At 44.7% G+C, this 17,062-nt stretch overlaps 1 pseudogene across 1 annotated transcript; it reads right to left on the bottom strand.

The window, feature by feature from the left end:
- Positions 1–11,066: 11,066 nt before the first annotated feature.
- Positions 11,067–11,279, bottom strand: TREML5P (triggering receptor expressed on myeloid cells like 5, pseudogene; annotated as a pseudogene). The gene has a single exon (NR_002794.1). The product of NR_002794.1 is annotated as a triggering receptor expressed on myeloid cells like 5, pseudogene (transcript).
- Positions 11,280–17,062: the final 5,783 nt, after the last annotated feature.

The raw sequence follows: 17,062 nt of genomic DNA, 5'->3' as shown, positions 1-17,062 counted from the left end.
ATAAACCTGCAGTGTATGTAACATTGGTGTATTTTGAGGTTTTGTTTCAAGACTTAGAACTCCTTTTGGCAGTTCTTGTAGTGCTGCTTAATAGTGGCAAATTCTCTCAGCATTTGTTTGTCTGAAAAAGGCTTTATCTCTCCTTCATTTATGAAGCTAGTTTTGCTGAATACAAAATTTTTCACTGATAATTATTTTGTTTCAGGATGCTAAAGATCAAACCCCAACCTCTTCTGGCTTGTAAGGTTTCTGCTGAGAAATCTGCTATTAATCTGATGGGTTTTCCTTTATAGGTTACCTGATGCTTTTGTCTTACAGCTCTTAAGATTCTTCCTTCATCTTGACTTTAGATAATCCGATGACTATGTGCCTAGGTGATGATCTTTTGGAGATGAATTTCCCAGGTGTCTTTTGAGCTTCTTGTATTTGGATGTCTAGATCTCTAGCAAGGCCAGGGAAATTTTCCTCAATTAATGCCTCAAGTAAGTTTTCCCAACTTTTAGATTTCTCTTTTTCCTCAGGAACAGAAATTATTCTTAGGTTTGGCTATTTAACTTAATCCCAAATTTATTGGAGGATTTGTTCTTTTTTTAAAAATTCATTTTTCTATGTCTTTATCTGCATTAATTCAAAAGCCTTGTCTTCAAGCTCTGAAGTTCTTTCTTCTACTTGTTCTAGTCTATTGTTGAAATTTTCCATTGCATTTTGTATTTCTCTAAGTGTGTATGTCATTTCCAGAAGTTGTGATTGTTTTTACTTTATGATAACTATTTCTCTGGAGAATTTTTCATCCATATTCTGTATTTTAAAAAAAGATTATTTAAGTTGTTTTTCACCTTTCCGTGTTATCTCCCTTAGGAGCTTAATAATCAACCTTCTGAACTCTTTATCTGGCAATTCAGAGATTTCTTCTTGATTTGGATCCATTGCTGGGTAGCTGGTGTGATCTTTTGGGGATGTTATAGAACCCTGTTTTATCATATTACTAGAATTGTTTTTCTGGTTCCTTCTCATTTGGGTAGACTATTTCAATGGAAAGATCTGGAACTCAAGGCCTGCTGTTCAGCTGTTCAGATTCTCTTGTTTCAAAGGGTGATCCCTTGGTGTGGCACTCTCTCCCTTCCCCTAAGGATGAGACTTCCTTAGAACCAGACTGCAGTGATTGTTATTGCTCTTCTGGTTGTGGCCATCCAGTGGGACTACCAGGCTCTGGGTTGGTGCTGGAGAATGTCTGCAAAGAGTCCTGTGATGTGACCCATCTTCAGGTCTCCCAACAGCTGCTCTGGTGAAAGGGGAGTGAAGTACACTCTGTGAGAGTCTTTGGTTGTAGATATGTTTAGTGTGCTGGCTTTGTCAAATGCTGGTTATGCTGGCAGTGAAGTTATCATGTGGTGTATTAGTGCATTTTCATACTGCTGATAAAGATATACCTGAGACTGGGAAGAAAAAGAGGTTTAATGGATTCGCAGTTCCATGTGGCTGAGGAGGGGTCACAATCATGGTGGAAGGAAAGGAGGAGCAAGTCATGTCTTACATGGGTGGTGGCAGGCAAAGAGAGAGAACTTGCGCAGGGAAACTCCCCCTTATAAAACCATCAGATCTCATGAGAGTTATTCACTATCATGAGAACAGCACGGGAAAGACCTGCCACCATAATTCAATTACCTGCCACTGAGTCCCTCCCATGAGACATGGGAATTATGAGAGCTACAATTCAAGATGAGATTTGGGTGGGGACACAGCAAAACCATATCACGTGGACACACTCAGGACCTTTGGCCAGCCAGGATATTGCAAGCAGTGGAATTGCTGTTGTCTTCTCTTTCTTGGGATCAGGATTGTTCTGTCATGAGTTGCTGTGATGGCTTGTGTTGGTTGGCCTCCAAACAAGAGGTTGGGTTTTCAAGAGAGCACCATCTGTGGTAATAGTAGGGGGATCCAAGTATGTCCTGAGTTGGACAAGATAAGTATTTTAGTTTCTCAGGTGTTGGGTGGGGCCATAAAGCTCCCAAGAGTTTCTTTTTAGTCAGCTACCAGAGAACATAGAGAAATACCATCAGGTGGGTGGCAGAGTTAAGTGGGTCTGGGTTCAGACTCTCCTTGGGCAGAGCTTGCCATAGCCACTGTGAAGGATGGTGGGGTGATTCTCAGGCCAATGGTATTATGTTCCAGAGGGGATTTTGACTGCTTCTGCTGTGTCTTATAGTTCATCAGGGAAGTGGGGGATAGCTGGTAGCGAGAGGCCTCATCCAGCTCTCATGCAGTTGGCAAGGCCAGTCTTGCCCCCTCAGTGCTCCATTCAGAACTTGCCCCAAGCCATGAGCTTCCCCACTGAGAAAGCAAGCATGGCTTTCAGGCTTCAACCCTCCCCATCTGCCCACACTGTTGGCAGCAGCTCCTGTGCTCATATCTGCAGCAGTTCCCATTCATCCCCTGGATTCTGCTCAAGAAAATTTGTGCCCAGTTGAAATTACTACTAATTTCAGTTGGGAGCTTCTTTCACCCTGTGACCCCTCCCTAATTCTGCTGGATGCCTTCCCTGAGGGCCTGTGTGAGATATAGTCAGGGGTGGCTTCCCTGGGCTTGAGCTGGAGACTGGGAGTGTCTGCAGGGAAGGCACTTCCCACTGCTTCTTCTAGTTTTATGTGTCATGCAACTTCCTAAATCCATTTTAGCTCCAGGTAAGGTTAAATCCTTCTCTCATGATATGGATTTTCAGATTCCCTGGTGAAATGTGTGTTTGGAGGCAGGTTTTCCCCCCCTCACACTTTGTGAACTCACAGTTTTTTTTGCCTGTCTCATGGAATTTGCAGTGGCATGCTGCTTCTTTCAAAGAATCTGTGGATTCTTTTGGTTTTCCTGATATGTTTCTGCAGTGGTTCTTGGAGCAAAAGATCATGGTGTGAGTCTCCACACACTGTTCTGTCTGTCCAAGTGGGAGCTGCACATTCGCCCTGTCTCCTATCCTTCATCTTGTCTCTGAATCAAAATCAATATTTTGAATTCTTTATCTGAGATTTGAAGGATTTCTTTTTGGTTAGGATTTATTGCTGAAGAATTATTGTGTTCCTTTCAGGGTGTCATATTACCTTGCTTTTTAATGTTTCCTGTTTCTGTTCCTGGAACCAGGCCAGGTCCAGCTGCTTTTTCTCAAGGCCCAATAATGAGAAGCAGGCAAACTAGGAAAGAAGGGAATTTATTGCTGTAACTGGATACAGGGAGAAGGCCAGAGATAATTCCACCAGACCAACTAAACATTTTACAATTTTCTTAGTGCTTACGTAGGTTGGGTTATGTGCCTATGTGCAGTATAGCATTCACCTGTCTATTGGTAACTAATTTTGTTTCAACTAGAAGGTCGGAGGCAAAAAAAAAAAAAAAAAAAAGGCTTGTTAAGTCCGATTAAGCTTTGAGAGCCCCAGTACCTTCAAGGCCTGTCTACTGCGGTACCGGAGTGATTATTTCTATCTTATCTCCTTTATAGTTTGGTCCAGAGATTTTCTTTAGACTCTGCAATGAATCTATTCAAACAGCTGCCCCTGTTACCTCGGGTCATCTCAGATTTTGTCAACCCAAGTTGGGCCCTGGCACTAGGAATGTAAGACTGCCTCTACTATTTGGCTTGCTCCAGGTTAAGGAGAAGCCCAGGTAAGGTCCTACTGACCATATGTTTCATTCCTAGCTTTGATGTCTGGGCACTGATTTCCTTAGGTTTAACTATTTGCTCAATGTTAAGGCAGTGCTGTGGAAATCTGTCTGTGTAACTGGAGTGCTATGCAGGTCTGTCTATGTGATTGTCAGGGAGAATTGGCCTGCCACATTTCTTTACATTAATTTCTGCACATCTGGTGTAATAGTCATTTCTTCTGTGTTTGAATTTACTCTCATGAGGGGAGGGGGAGGCTTTTTTCTTGAAGATGTGACTATAATCTTGTTTTGGTAGTACCCTTAAGCTTTGCTTCTGGATGTGTGCAGTGGTGAAGACTCTGTATGAGTTATTTGGCTATAAATAGTGTTGGTAGTATCTGTGGTTTCCTTGGTGTGTTTGGATGTAGTTATTGGTGGAGACTATGGTGAAGTTGTGCTGGGGACTGAAATGCCAGATGGGCCTTTAGGTTTCAGTAGTAGCAGTGGTGGGCTAAGCATGTCTATTCTTGTGACCTAGGGCAGCGTACACTGGCACTTGTATTGATGGGCCTAGGCAGGCTGATTCTTGGGCATCTGGGGTGGCTTTTTCTAAGGTCAGTTGCAGTAGTGGTGTACTTGGCAGGTGAGTGGGCTCTCAACTCCTGGACAGCCAAAGTGGCATGGGTGATGGCAATAGCAGTAGTGGCGAGTTCTTCTTCTTGGTCCTGAGTGCTGTGTTTTTGTGTTGGCAGTGGTTGCAATGGGCTGTGTGGACCGGCCTTCAGGTCAGTAGGTGGAGCTTGAAGGTAGAAGCCAGCTGAGGTGGGAGTGGTAGGGTGTTTTTGCCTGACTTCTGTCCTGCATAGGGGGAAGTGTGTGGGTGTCCCAGGTGGTGGATTGGGTTGTGAAACCCCTCGGAGCTTAGATTCTGCACTCTGTCTCGGGGTGGGAGGTAGGATGAAGCTGGGCACAACTTGGCCAGGAAAGCTGATACTCAGACCCTCCAATGGCGAGTGCATGCACCAGCTGCTACAGGGGGATGGAGCAGTACTCAGGCCCCTGGCAAAATGCTTCAGTGAGGGGCAAGCATTGTTGCACTGAGGTCCTGCTACAGGGAGTGTGGGGGTGGTCCCAGTAGCCACAGATTTGGCAACTGGTTGAGGATTTGCATTCCTCTTATGCCCCCGTCGTGGTGGGGCTCCCTCCCATATCCTGGCTGTCATAGTAAACCCAGTGTTCAGTCAGGCCAGGCAGTTTGCACCTGGCCTGTAACTTAGCCCTGGGCTATAGGAACCCCTGCCCAGCTCAACCAAGTCACTGAGGCAAATCTCATCCTGCTCAGGTTTTGGGGAGGAGGTGTACCCTGTTCCAGCATTGAAGCTGAAGTCCACACTATGCTTACTTCTTAGTCCTGGTTGTGGGAACCTATTCCTCACTGAAGCCCTGGTTCTGCAAGTTGCAGCCTGAGTTTCCTTAATGCCTAAGACTGCCATCACTGGTTCCTAGGACCACACACAATTTTTTAAGAGCAAGGATCAAGAATGGCAGTTTCTTAGGTCTCAGGAAGGGTGTGAAACCCAGGGCATGCTACCTCCATGGGGAAGTTTCTTCTCACAGTCTCCCAGCTGCTCTGTAAGTTAGATTCAGGGATTGGAGAGTCAAGTTGCACTCCCATGTCCTGGATTGTATGATTCCCCAGTGGGAAAGTGGATCACAGAAAGACTCTCACTCACTCTCTCCCATTTGGGAGGGTCTGTTCTGGTTCCCAGCTGGTCCCAACTACACAAGCTTCCTGTTTTCTTTCTATTTCCTTGATTTTGGACTTTTCTTTTGCTTTTCTGTTGAACTCTCAAGTTCCCTCTTGGATAATGTATTCAAAGTGTGATTGTCTACACACTATTTGGTTCTTCTAAGTGGATGAGGTGTGATTAAAATGCTTCCAGGCAGCCATCTTGGAAAAAAAACTAGATATTATTCTATGTTAGAAATTGCAAATATCTTGTCTCAGTCTGTCATTTGTCACTTGTTAAGCTCATGTGAGACAAGGCTGCGCCAAAGCCAAGTCCTGACTGATTTGACTGCTAATAATGCAATTAGCCGCTTTTTTTTTTTTTCAAGGAGTCTTGCTCTGTGGCCAGGCTGGAGTGCAGTGGCACAATGTCAGCAATGAGCCACTTTTACTTTCAGTCAATTTATTATTTACACAGACAACAAGGGAAAGATTAGGCAAAGGTGCCAGCTCCTCATGGCTCTTGTCCCACACCCCAAAACAAAAGGGGCCAGACAACTGCAATATGAGTTGTGGGACATTCCACTGCTGAGGAATCTACTCTAGAGGCAGATAAGTGGTTTCATAACCTGCAGCCCTATTCTGAGGTCTGGGACAGAGCCTCTGGCCTCATCAGAACTCAGGAGGGCATGAGGAACTGTCTTTCAGGGGAGACAGAGAAGTTACTGGGCCATGGTTCTCACAAGCCTCCATCCTTTTATGTTCTAGGAGGGTTGCAGGCATTCTGCCATGCTTCAAATTAGCTGTAGTTCATGTGTCTGCCAGTGTGACCTATGTGGCATATGCAAGGTTGTCAAGACAATATCATGGAGCTGTTCCCCTATGTTGCTTTTGTCCACAGTATATTTTGTTAGAAAAATAATTTTTTTATTGGGAATAGAAACCATCCATACCCACATTCAGTCTTGACACTGAGAACTGAAATCACACCTTGCTGTCTACATTAACATGACTTTGCTATTCCTCTGTCTTTGTGAATACTACTTTACCAGGAGTTTTCTTGTCTGGGAAAATGGTTTGCTTGTTCATTATAGGAAATTCCTGAAAGATTCATCAACTCTTTCATGGAAAGCCCTAAGAGGTAGTTGGCAACATAAGATTCTTTGAATCCCCCACTTCAAAATCCTCATCCTATTGTTTCTACCAATCCAGGACTGTTTGATCGTGATCCTTACTTAATCATAGCCCAGCCCCTGCTTTGAAAGACCTACCTTAAATCAAACTTCTCAATAAGTCCTAATCTTGCCTTAAAACACTCCCAAAATTTTGTCAAGGTGGCTATTTACATTTAAATTAACAAAAATTAAATGATAAATAGAAATTCAGTCCTTCACTCTCATTTGTCTCAGGTCAGATGCTCAATTACCACGCATGGCTAGTGGCTACCCATGTTGGACAGGGAGAGAGAACATTCCACCATTGTAGGAAATGCTGTTTTATAGACTTTTGCCTCAACATAGTCAACTAAAAAGCATTCAGCTCCTTGTTATAAATTTAGCTTCTTATTAATACAGATTAAACATTTTATAGTACAATGTGCTTTTATACTTAAGTAGCTTGGATCATTGTTTCCATTTAATTAAAGCAGATTTTCCTCTTAAAGGGAAAAAAATCGCATAAATTTTTTTTTTATTTCAAAAGAAAGAGTTTTATTCTTTCTCATTCCTCAGCCTGTTTGTCCTTTCCTCTCTGAGTTTCTTTCTGAAGTATTTATAAAAAAATACTGAGATGGGCTTCATTTCCAGAAATTCTGATTCTATTGGTCTGTGTATGAGAACACACACATCAGTATTTTTTTTTTAAAACTAACCAAACAAGGCAAAAACCAATATTGCATTTAGCCCTAACATGTGGCTCCTGCTGAGAGCTGTTGGGTGAACAATGTCTTCCAGCTCTGGGTTTCTAGCATGCCTACTGAATTGACAAGGAAGCTAAAGCCAGAGAGGGTTCCTGACTCACCCAAAGTCACAGTCAGTTAGTCAGGTAGATACTAGATCCAGGGTCCCTCATTCAGAGTGCGTTCCCACTACTCATCAGGCCCCTGGGGTTGGATGAGCTCCATTGGAATTTGGGGAGGATGCCATTTCCCTCTCCTTAATACTCAGGTTGCAAGAAAACAAGGAAGGTGAACTAGGGAGAATGACAGCCTGGCTGAGAGCCTCCCCTATTCTCCATCACCACCTCCTTCTTCCCCTGGACATTTCTACCCAGACTAATGTGACTCAAGTCTGCTCCTGCCCCACCTTCCCCTTTCCCTCACTCCCACATCCTCTCAGCACACGAACTGGGGAACAAAGAGCTTGATGTCCAAACCCGGGGCTCAGAGGCTGGGAAATCATAGTTGATGACATTTGTCACATTTTTATTGTTGACTGTGGGCCAGGAGTGGAGACATCAGCAGTTGACTTGGGTGAAGGCTGGGTCATGGTTCTTGGGCTGGCATACAGTGGGCTCAGGGCCTTAGTGGTGGTAGGAAGAACTGTGGGAATCTGAGGCATGTTCTGGGTAGGATTAACATTGGAGGCAGGGGTACCTAAGAGACCTGTGAAAAGAACATTGGATGAATGGATGGATGGATAAGTGGGTGATTTAACGGATAAACTATTTGGAAGTGAGTGGATGGGTAGGTGGATAAATAGATGGATGAGTGGAGGAATGGACAGGATGTAGGAAGAATAAGTAGATGAAAAGATGGATGAGTGGGTGAATGGGTAGGTGTTAGGGTAAATGGAGCTAAGGAAGGAAATGGACATGGCCAAGAAGCAGGGTTTTCTTTTGCTATAACCTAAGAATACTGTGTGATCAGCCTAGGTTAGAGTCAGGAAGAAGGAAAGGAGGAAAGGAGGGAGGGAGGAAAGGCAGAAAGAAGGAAGAAAAAAGAAATATTCAGGCTATTCACTTTATTGGAACTGCACTTGCCTGCTATTCTTCACCAATCCATATGTCCCCAACTTCAAGAATAAATCCTTGATTATTTTACTTTATATCATTCATTCTACCTTGCATTCACCTATGCCTGTGGCATATTGCCTTATAAGTTATCTTTTATTAATGTATTCCATATGCACCTTGTTTTCCTCAAGCTTAGAATTCCCCTGGTGCTAGGAATTTAAACCTTCTCCCTCCTTTCTGTCTTTCATTATTCTTCCGTCCACCATATTTCTCTAATGCCACCTACCACCTTACGTCATAACCCTTCATCACATGCTGTTTCTCTGGCCCAACTGTGGGCTCCTCCAGCTCCGGATGGGATCTCAAGGCTTTTGAGTCCCCATCCAGGGCCTAGCTTAGCCCTGTGCCCTCCAGGGAATGGGCAGTGAGCCAAAGCTTGGGCAGTGAAGAAAGAGAAGCTTATTGGGGTCCTCCAGATGCCCATTTGACCAAGTGGCTGGGCACACTCAGCAGCAGGGAAAAAGCACCACTGTTTCTAACCATCACAGAAAAAGGCAGGAGAGCTTGGCAACTCTAATTTCAGGGGGAATGCCCAGGGGCCTTAGGATTAGTGGTGACCCCTAGCTTCTCATTTTGAAGCTTAATGACTCTCAACTGATAAGGGCAGGTCCAGGGAGAGGATCCAGGTCCCCTGAGCCCCTGGCTACTACACCTCCCAGCCTCACCCCCTAAGTCTCATGTCAGCCTCATTGTTTGGCTATCTCCTATGTCACATTTATCCCCCCACCCCATTACTCAGTGATCTTTCTTGACTACAGCCCTTTGAGAAGATGCTGGCAGTTAGAGTCAAGGGTAGGGATGTCTGGAATGGACCATTAAGCCCTTTGTGCTCAAGCATGGGGAAACTTTAAACTCATTCCAAATAAATGGAGGAGTCCTGTTAGTAGCAGCAAAAATGTTAAGGGCGATACGTACGATGTGGAAGGAAGAACCAAAAGCCAGCAGGCCTGCATTCTGGGGCTGGCTCTGCCCTTCAGCAGCAGGTGACCTTAGGCCAGGGGCTTTTCTTCTCCATGTCCCCAGTTTTCAGTGATGAGAAGGTGGAAGGAGAAGATTTCTAGGATCCTCTCCAGCTCTAACACCTTGTGATTCAGGAAGTCTGAGACCCACAAATACGAAGGGACAGAACTCACCTTGAGATACCACCAGGCAGATGATTCTGACAATAGAGATCTCAGGGGATTTAGAGATTCCACACCCATGGAATCCCAAGGCCTCTACTCTGAGCTCAGTCATGGTGACGGTGAAGACGCCATAGAAGCGATCATCTTGGATGAAGTATCGAGGGTCCCAGGCCGCTGTCCTGGGACTGTCCCCTACTATGGCACATGTATTGGCTGATATTTTCCCGCACCAGCTTTCCACCTGTAAATGTTGGGAGGGCTAGTACTGGTGTTTTACAGAGGTTGCCTCGCCCTCCAGGCTGGGAAGCAACTCTGTCCACTGTGCTCACAATGGCCTCCATGCCCATGCTCATACCCTCCCTAGACCATCCTCGACAAGTGGCCACTACATACTTAAAAATAAGCTGTGACACACCTCTCTTAGCTCTCCAGTAGCTTCCTCTTGTACTTAGAATCACCCAAACTTCATCTCATAGGCTTCAGGGCTGCTTGACTCCCAGCCTCATCAATCACTGTCCTGCACTCAATATGGAGTTACTAAATAAGCATTTTTTTCTTTGCTTTTTATTTTTTTTTGAGACAGGGTCTCACTCTGCTGCCCAGGTTGGAGTGCAATGGTGCAATCTTGGCTCACTGCAACCTCTGCCTCCCAGGTTCAAGCAATTCTCCTGCATCAGCCTCCCAAGTATCTGGGATTACAAGTACATGCCACCACACTCAGCTAATTTTTGTATTTTTAGTAGAGACAGGGTTTCAACCATGTTGGCCAGGCTGGTCTCAAACTTCGGACCTCAGGTGATCCACCTGCCTCAGCCTCCCAAAATGCTGGGATTACAGGCGTGAGCCATTGCACCTAGCCAAATAAGTCTTTCTTGTACAAGCCAAGCACCTTCTGACCTCAGGACCTTTGCACATGCAGCCCTTGCCACAAAGTGCCCTTCAAAGCACCCAGATTTCAACAGAGCTGGAGAATGCTCACCATTCAGGGGTCTGCTTGGTGTCATCTGCTCAGGGAGGTGTTTTCTGATCCTCAGTATTTCCACAGCTCCCGCATTACTGAGTTAACTTTCCTGTTTACAAGTGTTGTTTTTTCTTACAAAAATTTGTTATTTGCAATTATTATAGAGCAAGATTGTGTCTGTTTTTGCTCACTACTGTCTCCTTAGAGCCTAGAATAGTGCCTGCCACATAATACGGGCTCAGTGAATTATGTTGAAGCAATGAGTGAATAAAACACAGCACAGACAGTGCCAAGTTTGAACTTTATCTCAGCCACCTGCTAGCTCTGGGACCCCGGACAAGCTCAGAGTCACACTGGGTTTTCAGGTCTCATTATCTTCATCTGTAAAATGGTGACAATAGTGCCACGAATAGTGCCATAAAGGCACTTTGAAAACACTACAGTGCAACATGACCATTGATGGATTATTATCCTTATTATCTCTGATGTTAGTGGAGTGTGGGGCAGGGAGGACTCCCTCCACCCGTCCCAGTGCCCCTGCAGCCCGCTCACCTGGAGACACATCCAGCTGGAAGCCCATCAAGGGGTACAGGATCCCAGAGGTGTTGCGCATGCACCAGTATCGGCCTGAGTCCTGGAGCTTGAGGGCCACCATGGTGATGTTGACCACCTTGGCCTGGGCGTCGTCCTGCAGCAAGTAGCGGGGCCCTTTCACCCAGACTTGGGTGAAACCAGGCTCACACTTCTTCCTGATTTTGCACCAAACCTTGCCCTCCATGCGGTTTTTGTAGCCCTTACAGAAGCACTGCACAGACAGAGTCCCCCTTTCAAGGAGCCTCACTTTTGTGTATGCGCTCCCAGCAGAGGGGCCTGTGGAGACAAGACTTGTTGAATAAGGTCTGGCAAGAGGAGAGGAAGAAGACATCATGAAAGTTGAAGATCATGGTGAAGGGCGGGGTGGATATTGTCCTGCTGTCATGGAACCCACAGATTGAGGGGGAAATACAGCCCCACCCTCAGGGAGCTTGCCCCAGTCTGAAGGGAGGTAAATGGGCCCTGAAAACAGCTAGCTCCCAGTATTAGGGGGCAGACAGAGGTCCCCCTCTCAGGGAGCTTTCAGTCTGATGGAGGAGGCAGGTATATCCCACAGTGAGCCCCCAGTCTAATGGAGGAAATGCAGCACTTACACTTGGAGCTCCATCAGACACAGCCCCTTTCCTCATGGTATTTTCTAGTCTGATGGGAGAGTGACATTCTTGTGGGAAAAACCCAGTGAGAAAGATGCAGAGACACAAACACAGGTCATTAAGTTCTGAAATTTCAGTGCCCAACTAATTAGGTAGATAAGAAAATCCAGTGTTTGAAAAAATGATTAATAGTTATTTATTTCACAAATAGGTTCACTGTAGTCCTCTTTAAATAATAACCTACCTTAGTTCATTCTAGCTGGTGTTTAGTTTTAAAGTATTCTAGTTACATAAAACCCATAGATCAAGCCTGTCCAAATGTACATGTAAACAAACTCCCAATGGAGTATGAACCACAGGATTCTACAATTATTCACTTTCCACCTGCAATATCTTTCTCTCTATGCTGAGGAGTAAGATGTGGTCCAAGCCTTCATAATCCACAGTCTGGTAGAGAGAGAGCAGAACTGGGGTGTGCAAGGTGACTCAGGGGACAGAGAGAGGGAGAAAGCTGCCGTGGGCTCCCTCCACCCCTCTGCCTGCCCTAAGCTCAGCTGACTCTTCTGATAATTTCACCCCAGAGTCTCCCACAAAACCACACATAAAAAGACTCTCCCCCATAGTACAGAATAGAGAGCACACATTTTGGATCAAAATAAACACGGGTCAAAACCTTGTTTCTACCACTTAACGGTGTGATCGGGGCACCTAAAATCTCTGTCTTTGCATCAGTCAAGTGAGAATAGCACCACATCCCTCACAGGTTGCTGTGAGAATTCTGCCCCAGGTCAGTGCTTTTCACACAGTGCGTGCTCAATGCATGCTGTATTTTCCCACACGCTGGGGGCTCCCAGATCCTCCAGTGGAACCCAGAGCTGTGATAGTCAAGGGCCCAGAACCCAGGACATCTGTCCAGTTGCCAGCAGCCACTAGAGCTGAGGCTCTGCGTGAGGCAGCACCCTCTCTGAGCATCACTCTGTTCTTTGTAAACTAAGCAGAATGATCCAACTCCATTGCATGGTGGATGAGCCCAGAATTTCTTAGCACAGGAGAGACCCTTTTTTGCTGTGGCAGAGGGAGGAACCTCTCTGACCCTGGGAGGTGCAGAGTTGGGTGACTTTGGGATGGGTCTCCAGGGCACTGTGTTCATGTGTGCCTACACCTCCCACCCCTTTCACAGGCAGTAGGGAGTGAGTTTTGCCAACCCCCACCATGCCCAGTGGTCTCTGGTAAAGAGCTACGAAGTCAGCCCCAACCTCTTCCTCACTGAACCCACAAAAAACTAAACAAGACAATTGGGCCAGAAAAGCAAGAAGGGTGGTTTTTGATAAAGATCTAGAGCTCCTGCTTATGTACCCACTCCCTCCTCCACAAGGCAGCCCCTTCTCCCCTCCCTGAGATGCGGCCCTGTGGCCACAGCAGCAACAGCAGCAGGAACGCAGCAGCCATGGCTCCATCCAGCTGGGCAGTCACAGGCCCAGCAAGGGGCCAGGGCACCCGGGGGATCCAGGGTGAGGGCCCACCCCACACAGGACGTGCCACCTGGGCCTGCCAGGGAAGGACCTGGGGTTCTAAAAGTGAAGCTACCCAATTAGGGAAGTTAGGCAGTATGGGACCCACCATCCCCAACCGACTGCAGGGGTTCATCAAGCCTATCGCGAGAGCAGCACTGGCAGCTGTTTCTGCCCCTTTCCTCGGAAATTCAGGCAGGTGTGGCTGCTCTACCCAGTCTGGACCCCCAGCCCAGGGAGGGCTCACAGTCAGAGGGCTTCCCGTCATCCCCAACCCGCCCCAGAAACTGATCCCTAGGATCCAGGAAGGTGAGGCTTCTGGAACGTCAGGTATAGACTTTCCTGGAATCTTCTGGGCTCAGAGTCCCAGGGGTGCGGGCTCTCAGAATGAGGTGGGAATCGGTGGGAATCTTGAACTCCAGTTTCTTTCTTTCTTTCTTTTTATTATTGTACTTTAAGTTCTAGGGTACATGTGCACAACCTGCAGGTTTGTTATATATGTATACATGCGCCATGTTGGTGTGCTGCACCCGCTAACTCATCATTTACATTAGGTATATCTCCTAATGCCATCCCTCCCCACTCCCCCTCACCCCACAGCAGGCCCCAGTGTATGATGTTCCTCACCCTGTGTCCAAGTGTTCTCATTGTTCAATTCCCACCTGTGAGTGAGAACATGCGGTGTTTGGTTTTCTGTCCTTGCGATAGTTTGCTGAGAATGATGGTTTCCAGCTTCATCCATGTCCCTACAGAGGACATGAACTCATCCTTTTTAATGGCTGCATAGTATTCCATGGTGTATATGTGCCACATTTTCTTAATCCAGTCTATCATTGATGGACATTTGGGTTGGTTCAAAGTCTTTGCTATTGTGAATAGTGCCGCAATAAACATACGTGTGCATGTGTCTTCATAGCAGCATGATTTATAGTCCTTTGGGTATATGCCCAGTAATGGGATGGCTGGGTCAAATGGTATTTCTAGTTCTAGATCCTTGAGGAATCGCCACACTGTCTTCCACAATGGTTGAACTAGTTTATAGTCCCACCAACAGTGTAAAAGCATTCCTATTTCTCCACATCCTCTCCAGCACCTACTGTTTCCTGACTTTTTAATGATCGCCATTGTAACAGGTGTGAGATGGTATCTCATTGTGGTTTTGATTTGCATTTCTCTGATGGCCAGTGGTGATAAGCATTTTTTCGTGTCTGTTGGCTGCATAAATGTCTTCTTTTGAGAAATATCTGTTCATATCCTTTGCCCACTTTTTATGGAGTTGTTTGATTTTTTCTTGTAAATTTGTTTAAGTTCTTGTAGATTCTGTATATTAGCCCTTTGTCAGATGGAGAGATTGCAAAAATTTTCTCACATTCTGTAGGTTGCCTGTTCACTCTGATGGTAGTTTCTTTTACTGTGCAGAAGCTCTTTAGTTTAAGTAGATCCCATTTGTCAGTTCTGGCTTTTGTTGCCATTGCTTTTGGTGTTTTAGTCATGAAGTCCTTGCCCATGCCTATGTCCTAAATGGTATTGCCTAGGTTTTCTTCCAGGGTTTTTATGGTTTTAGGTCTAACATGTAAGTCTTTAATCCATCTTGAATTAATTTTTGTATAAGGTGTAAGAAAGGGATCCAGTTTCAGCTTTCTAGATATGGCTAGCCAGTTTTCCCAGCACCATTTATTAAATAGGGAATCCTTTCCCCATTTCTTGTTTTTGTCAGGTTTGTCAAGGATCAGATGGTTGTAGATGTGTGGTATTATTTCCGAGGGCTCTATTCTCTTCCATTGATCTGTATCTCTGTTTTGGTACCAGTACCATGCTGTTTTGGTTACCATAGCCTTGTGGTATAGTTTGAAGTTAGGTAGCGTGATGCCTCCAACTTTGTTCTTTTGGCTTAGGATTGTCTTGGCAATGCGGGCTCTTTTTTGGTCCCATATGAACTTTAAAGTAGTTTTTTCCAATTCTGTGAAGAAAGTCATTGGTAGCTTGATGGGGATGGTATTGAATTTATAAATTACCTTGGGCAGTATGACCATTTTCACAATATTGACCCTTCCTGTCCATGAGCATGGAATGTTCTTCCATTTGTTTGTGTCCTCTTTTATTTCGTTGAGCAGTGGTTTGTAGTTCTCCTTGAAGAGGTCCTTCACGTCCCTTGTAAGTTGGATTCCTAGGTATTTTATTCTCTTTGAAGCAATTGTGAATGGGAGTTTACTCATGATTTGGCTCTCTGTTTGTCTGTTATTGGTGTATAAGATTGCTTGTGATTTTTGCAGATTGATTTTGTATCCTGAGACTTTGCTGAAGTTGCTTATCAGCTTAAGGAGATTTTGGGCTGAGATGATGGGGTTTTCTAAATATACGCTCATGTCATCTGCAAACAGAGACAATTTGACTTCCTCTTTTCCTAACTGAATACCCTTTATTTCCTTCTCCTGCCTGATTGCCCTGGCCAGAACTTCCAACACTATGTTGAAAAGGAGTGGTGAGAGAGGGCATCCCTGTCTTGTGCCAGTTTTCAAAGGGAATGCTTCCAGTTTTTGCCCATTCAGTATGATATTGGCTGTGGGTTTGTCATAAATAGCTCTTATTATTTTGAGATGCGTCCCATCAATACCTAGTTTATTGAGAGTTTTTAGCATGAACGGCTGTTGAATTTTGTCGAAGGCCTTTTCTGCATCTATTGAGATAATCATGTGGTTTTTGTCGTTGGTTCTGTTTATATGATGGATTATGTTTATTGATTTGTGTATATTGAACAAGCCTGGCATCCCAGGGATGAAGCCAACTTGATCGTGGTGGATAAGCTTTTTGATGTGCTGCTGGATTTGGTTTGCCAGTATTTTATTGAGGATTTTTGCATTGATGTTCATCAGGGATATTGGTCTTAAATTTTCTTTTTTCGTTGTGTCTCTGCCAGGCTTTGGTATCAGGATGATGTTGGCCTCATAAAATGAATTAGGGAGGATTCCCTCTTTTTCCATTGATTGGAATAGTTTCAGAAGGAATGGTACCAGCTCCTCTTTGTACCTCTGGTAGAATTCGGCTGTGAATCCGTCTGGTCCTGGACTGCTTTTGGTTGATAGGCTATTAATTATTGCCTCAATTTCAGAATCTATTATTGGTCTATTCAGAGATTCAACTTCTTCCTGGTTTAGTCTTGGGGCGGTGTATGTGTCCAGGAATTTATCCATTTCTTCTAGATTTTCTAGTTTATTTGCGTAGAGGTGTTTATAGTATTCTCTGATGGTAGTTTGTATTTCTGTGGGATCGGTGGTGATATCCCTTTTATCATTTTTTATTGTGTCTATTTGATTCTTCTCTCTTTCCTTGTTTATTAGTCTTGCTAGCAGTCTATCAATTTTGTTGATCTTTTCAAAAAACCAGCTCCTGGATTCACTGATTTTTTGAAGGGTTTTTTGTGTCTCTATCTCCTTCAGTTCTGCCCTGATCTTAGTTATTTCTTGACTTCTGCTGGCTTTTGAAGGTGTTTGCTTTTGCTTCTCTAATTCTTTTAATTGTTATGTTAGGGTGTCAATTTTAGATCTTTCCTGCTTTCTCTTGTGGGCATTTAGTGCTATAAATTTCCCTCTACACACTGCTTTGAATGTGTCCCAGAGATTCTGGTATGTTGTGTCTTTGTTCTCATTGGTTTCAAAGAACATCTTTATTTCTGCCTTCATTTCATTATGTACCCAGTAGTCATTCAGGAGCAGGTTGTTCAGTTTCCATGTAATTGAGCAGTTTTGAGTGAGTTTCTTAATCCTGAGTTCTAGTTTGATTGCACTGTGGTCTGAGAGACAGTTTGTTATAATTTCTGTTCTTTTACATTTGCTGAGGAGTGCTTTACTTCCAACTATGTGGTCAATTTTGGAATAAGTGCAATGTGGTGCTGAGAAGAATGTATATTCTGT

This window comes from Homo sapiens, chromosome 6 (assembly GCF_000001405.40).
Source record: "Homo sapiens chromosome 6, GRCh38.p14 Primary Assembly".
Classification (NCBI taxonomy): Eukaryota; Metazoa; Chordata; class Mammalia; order Primates; family Hominidae; genus Homo; species Homo sapiens.
This window is presented reverse-complemented; position numbering and strand designations above follow the sequence as displayed.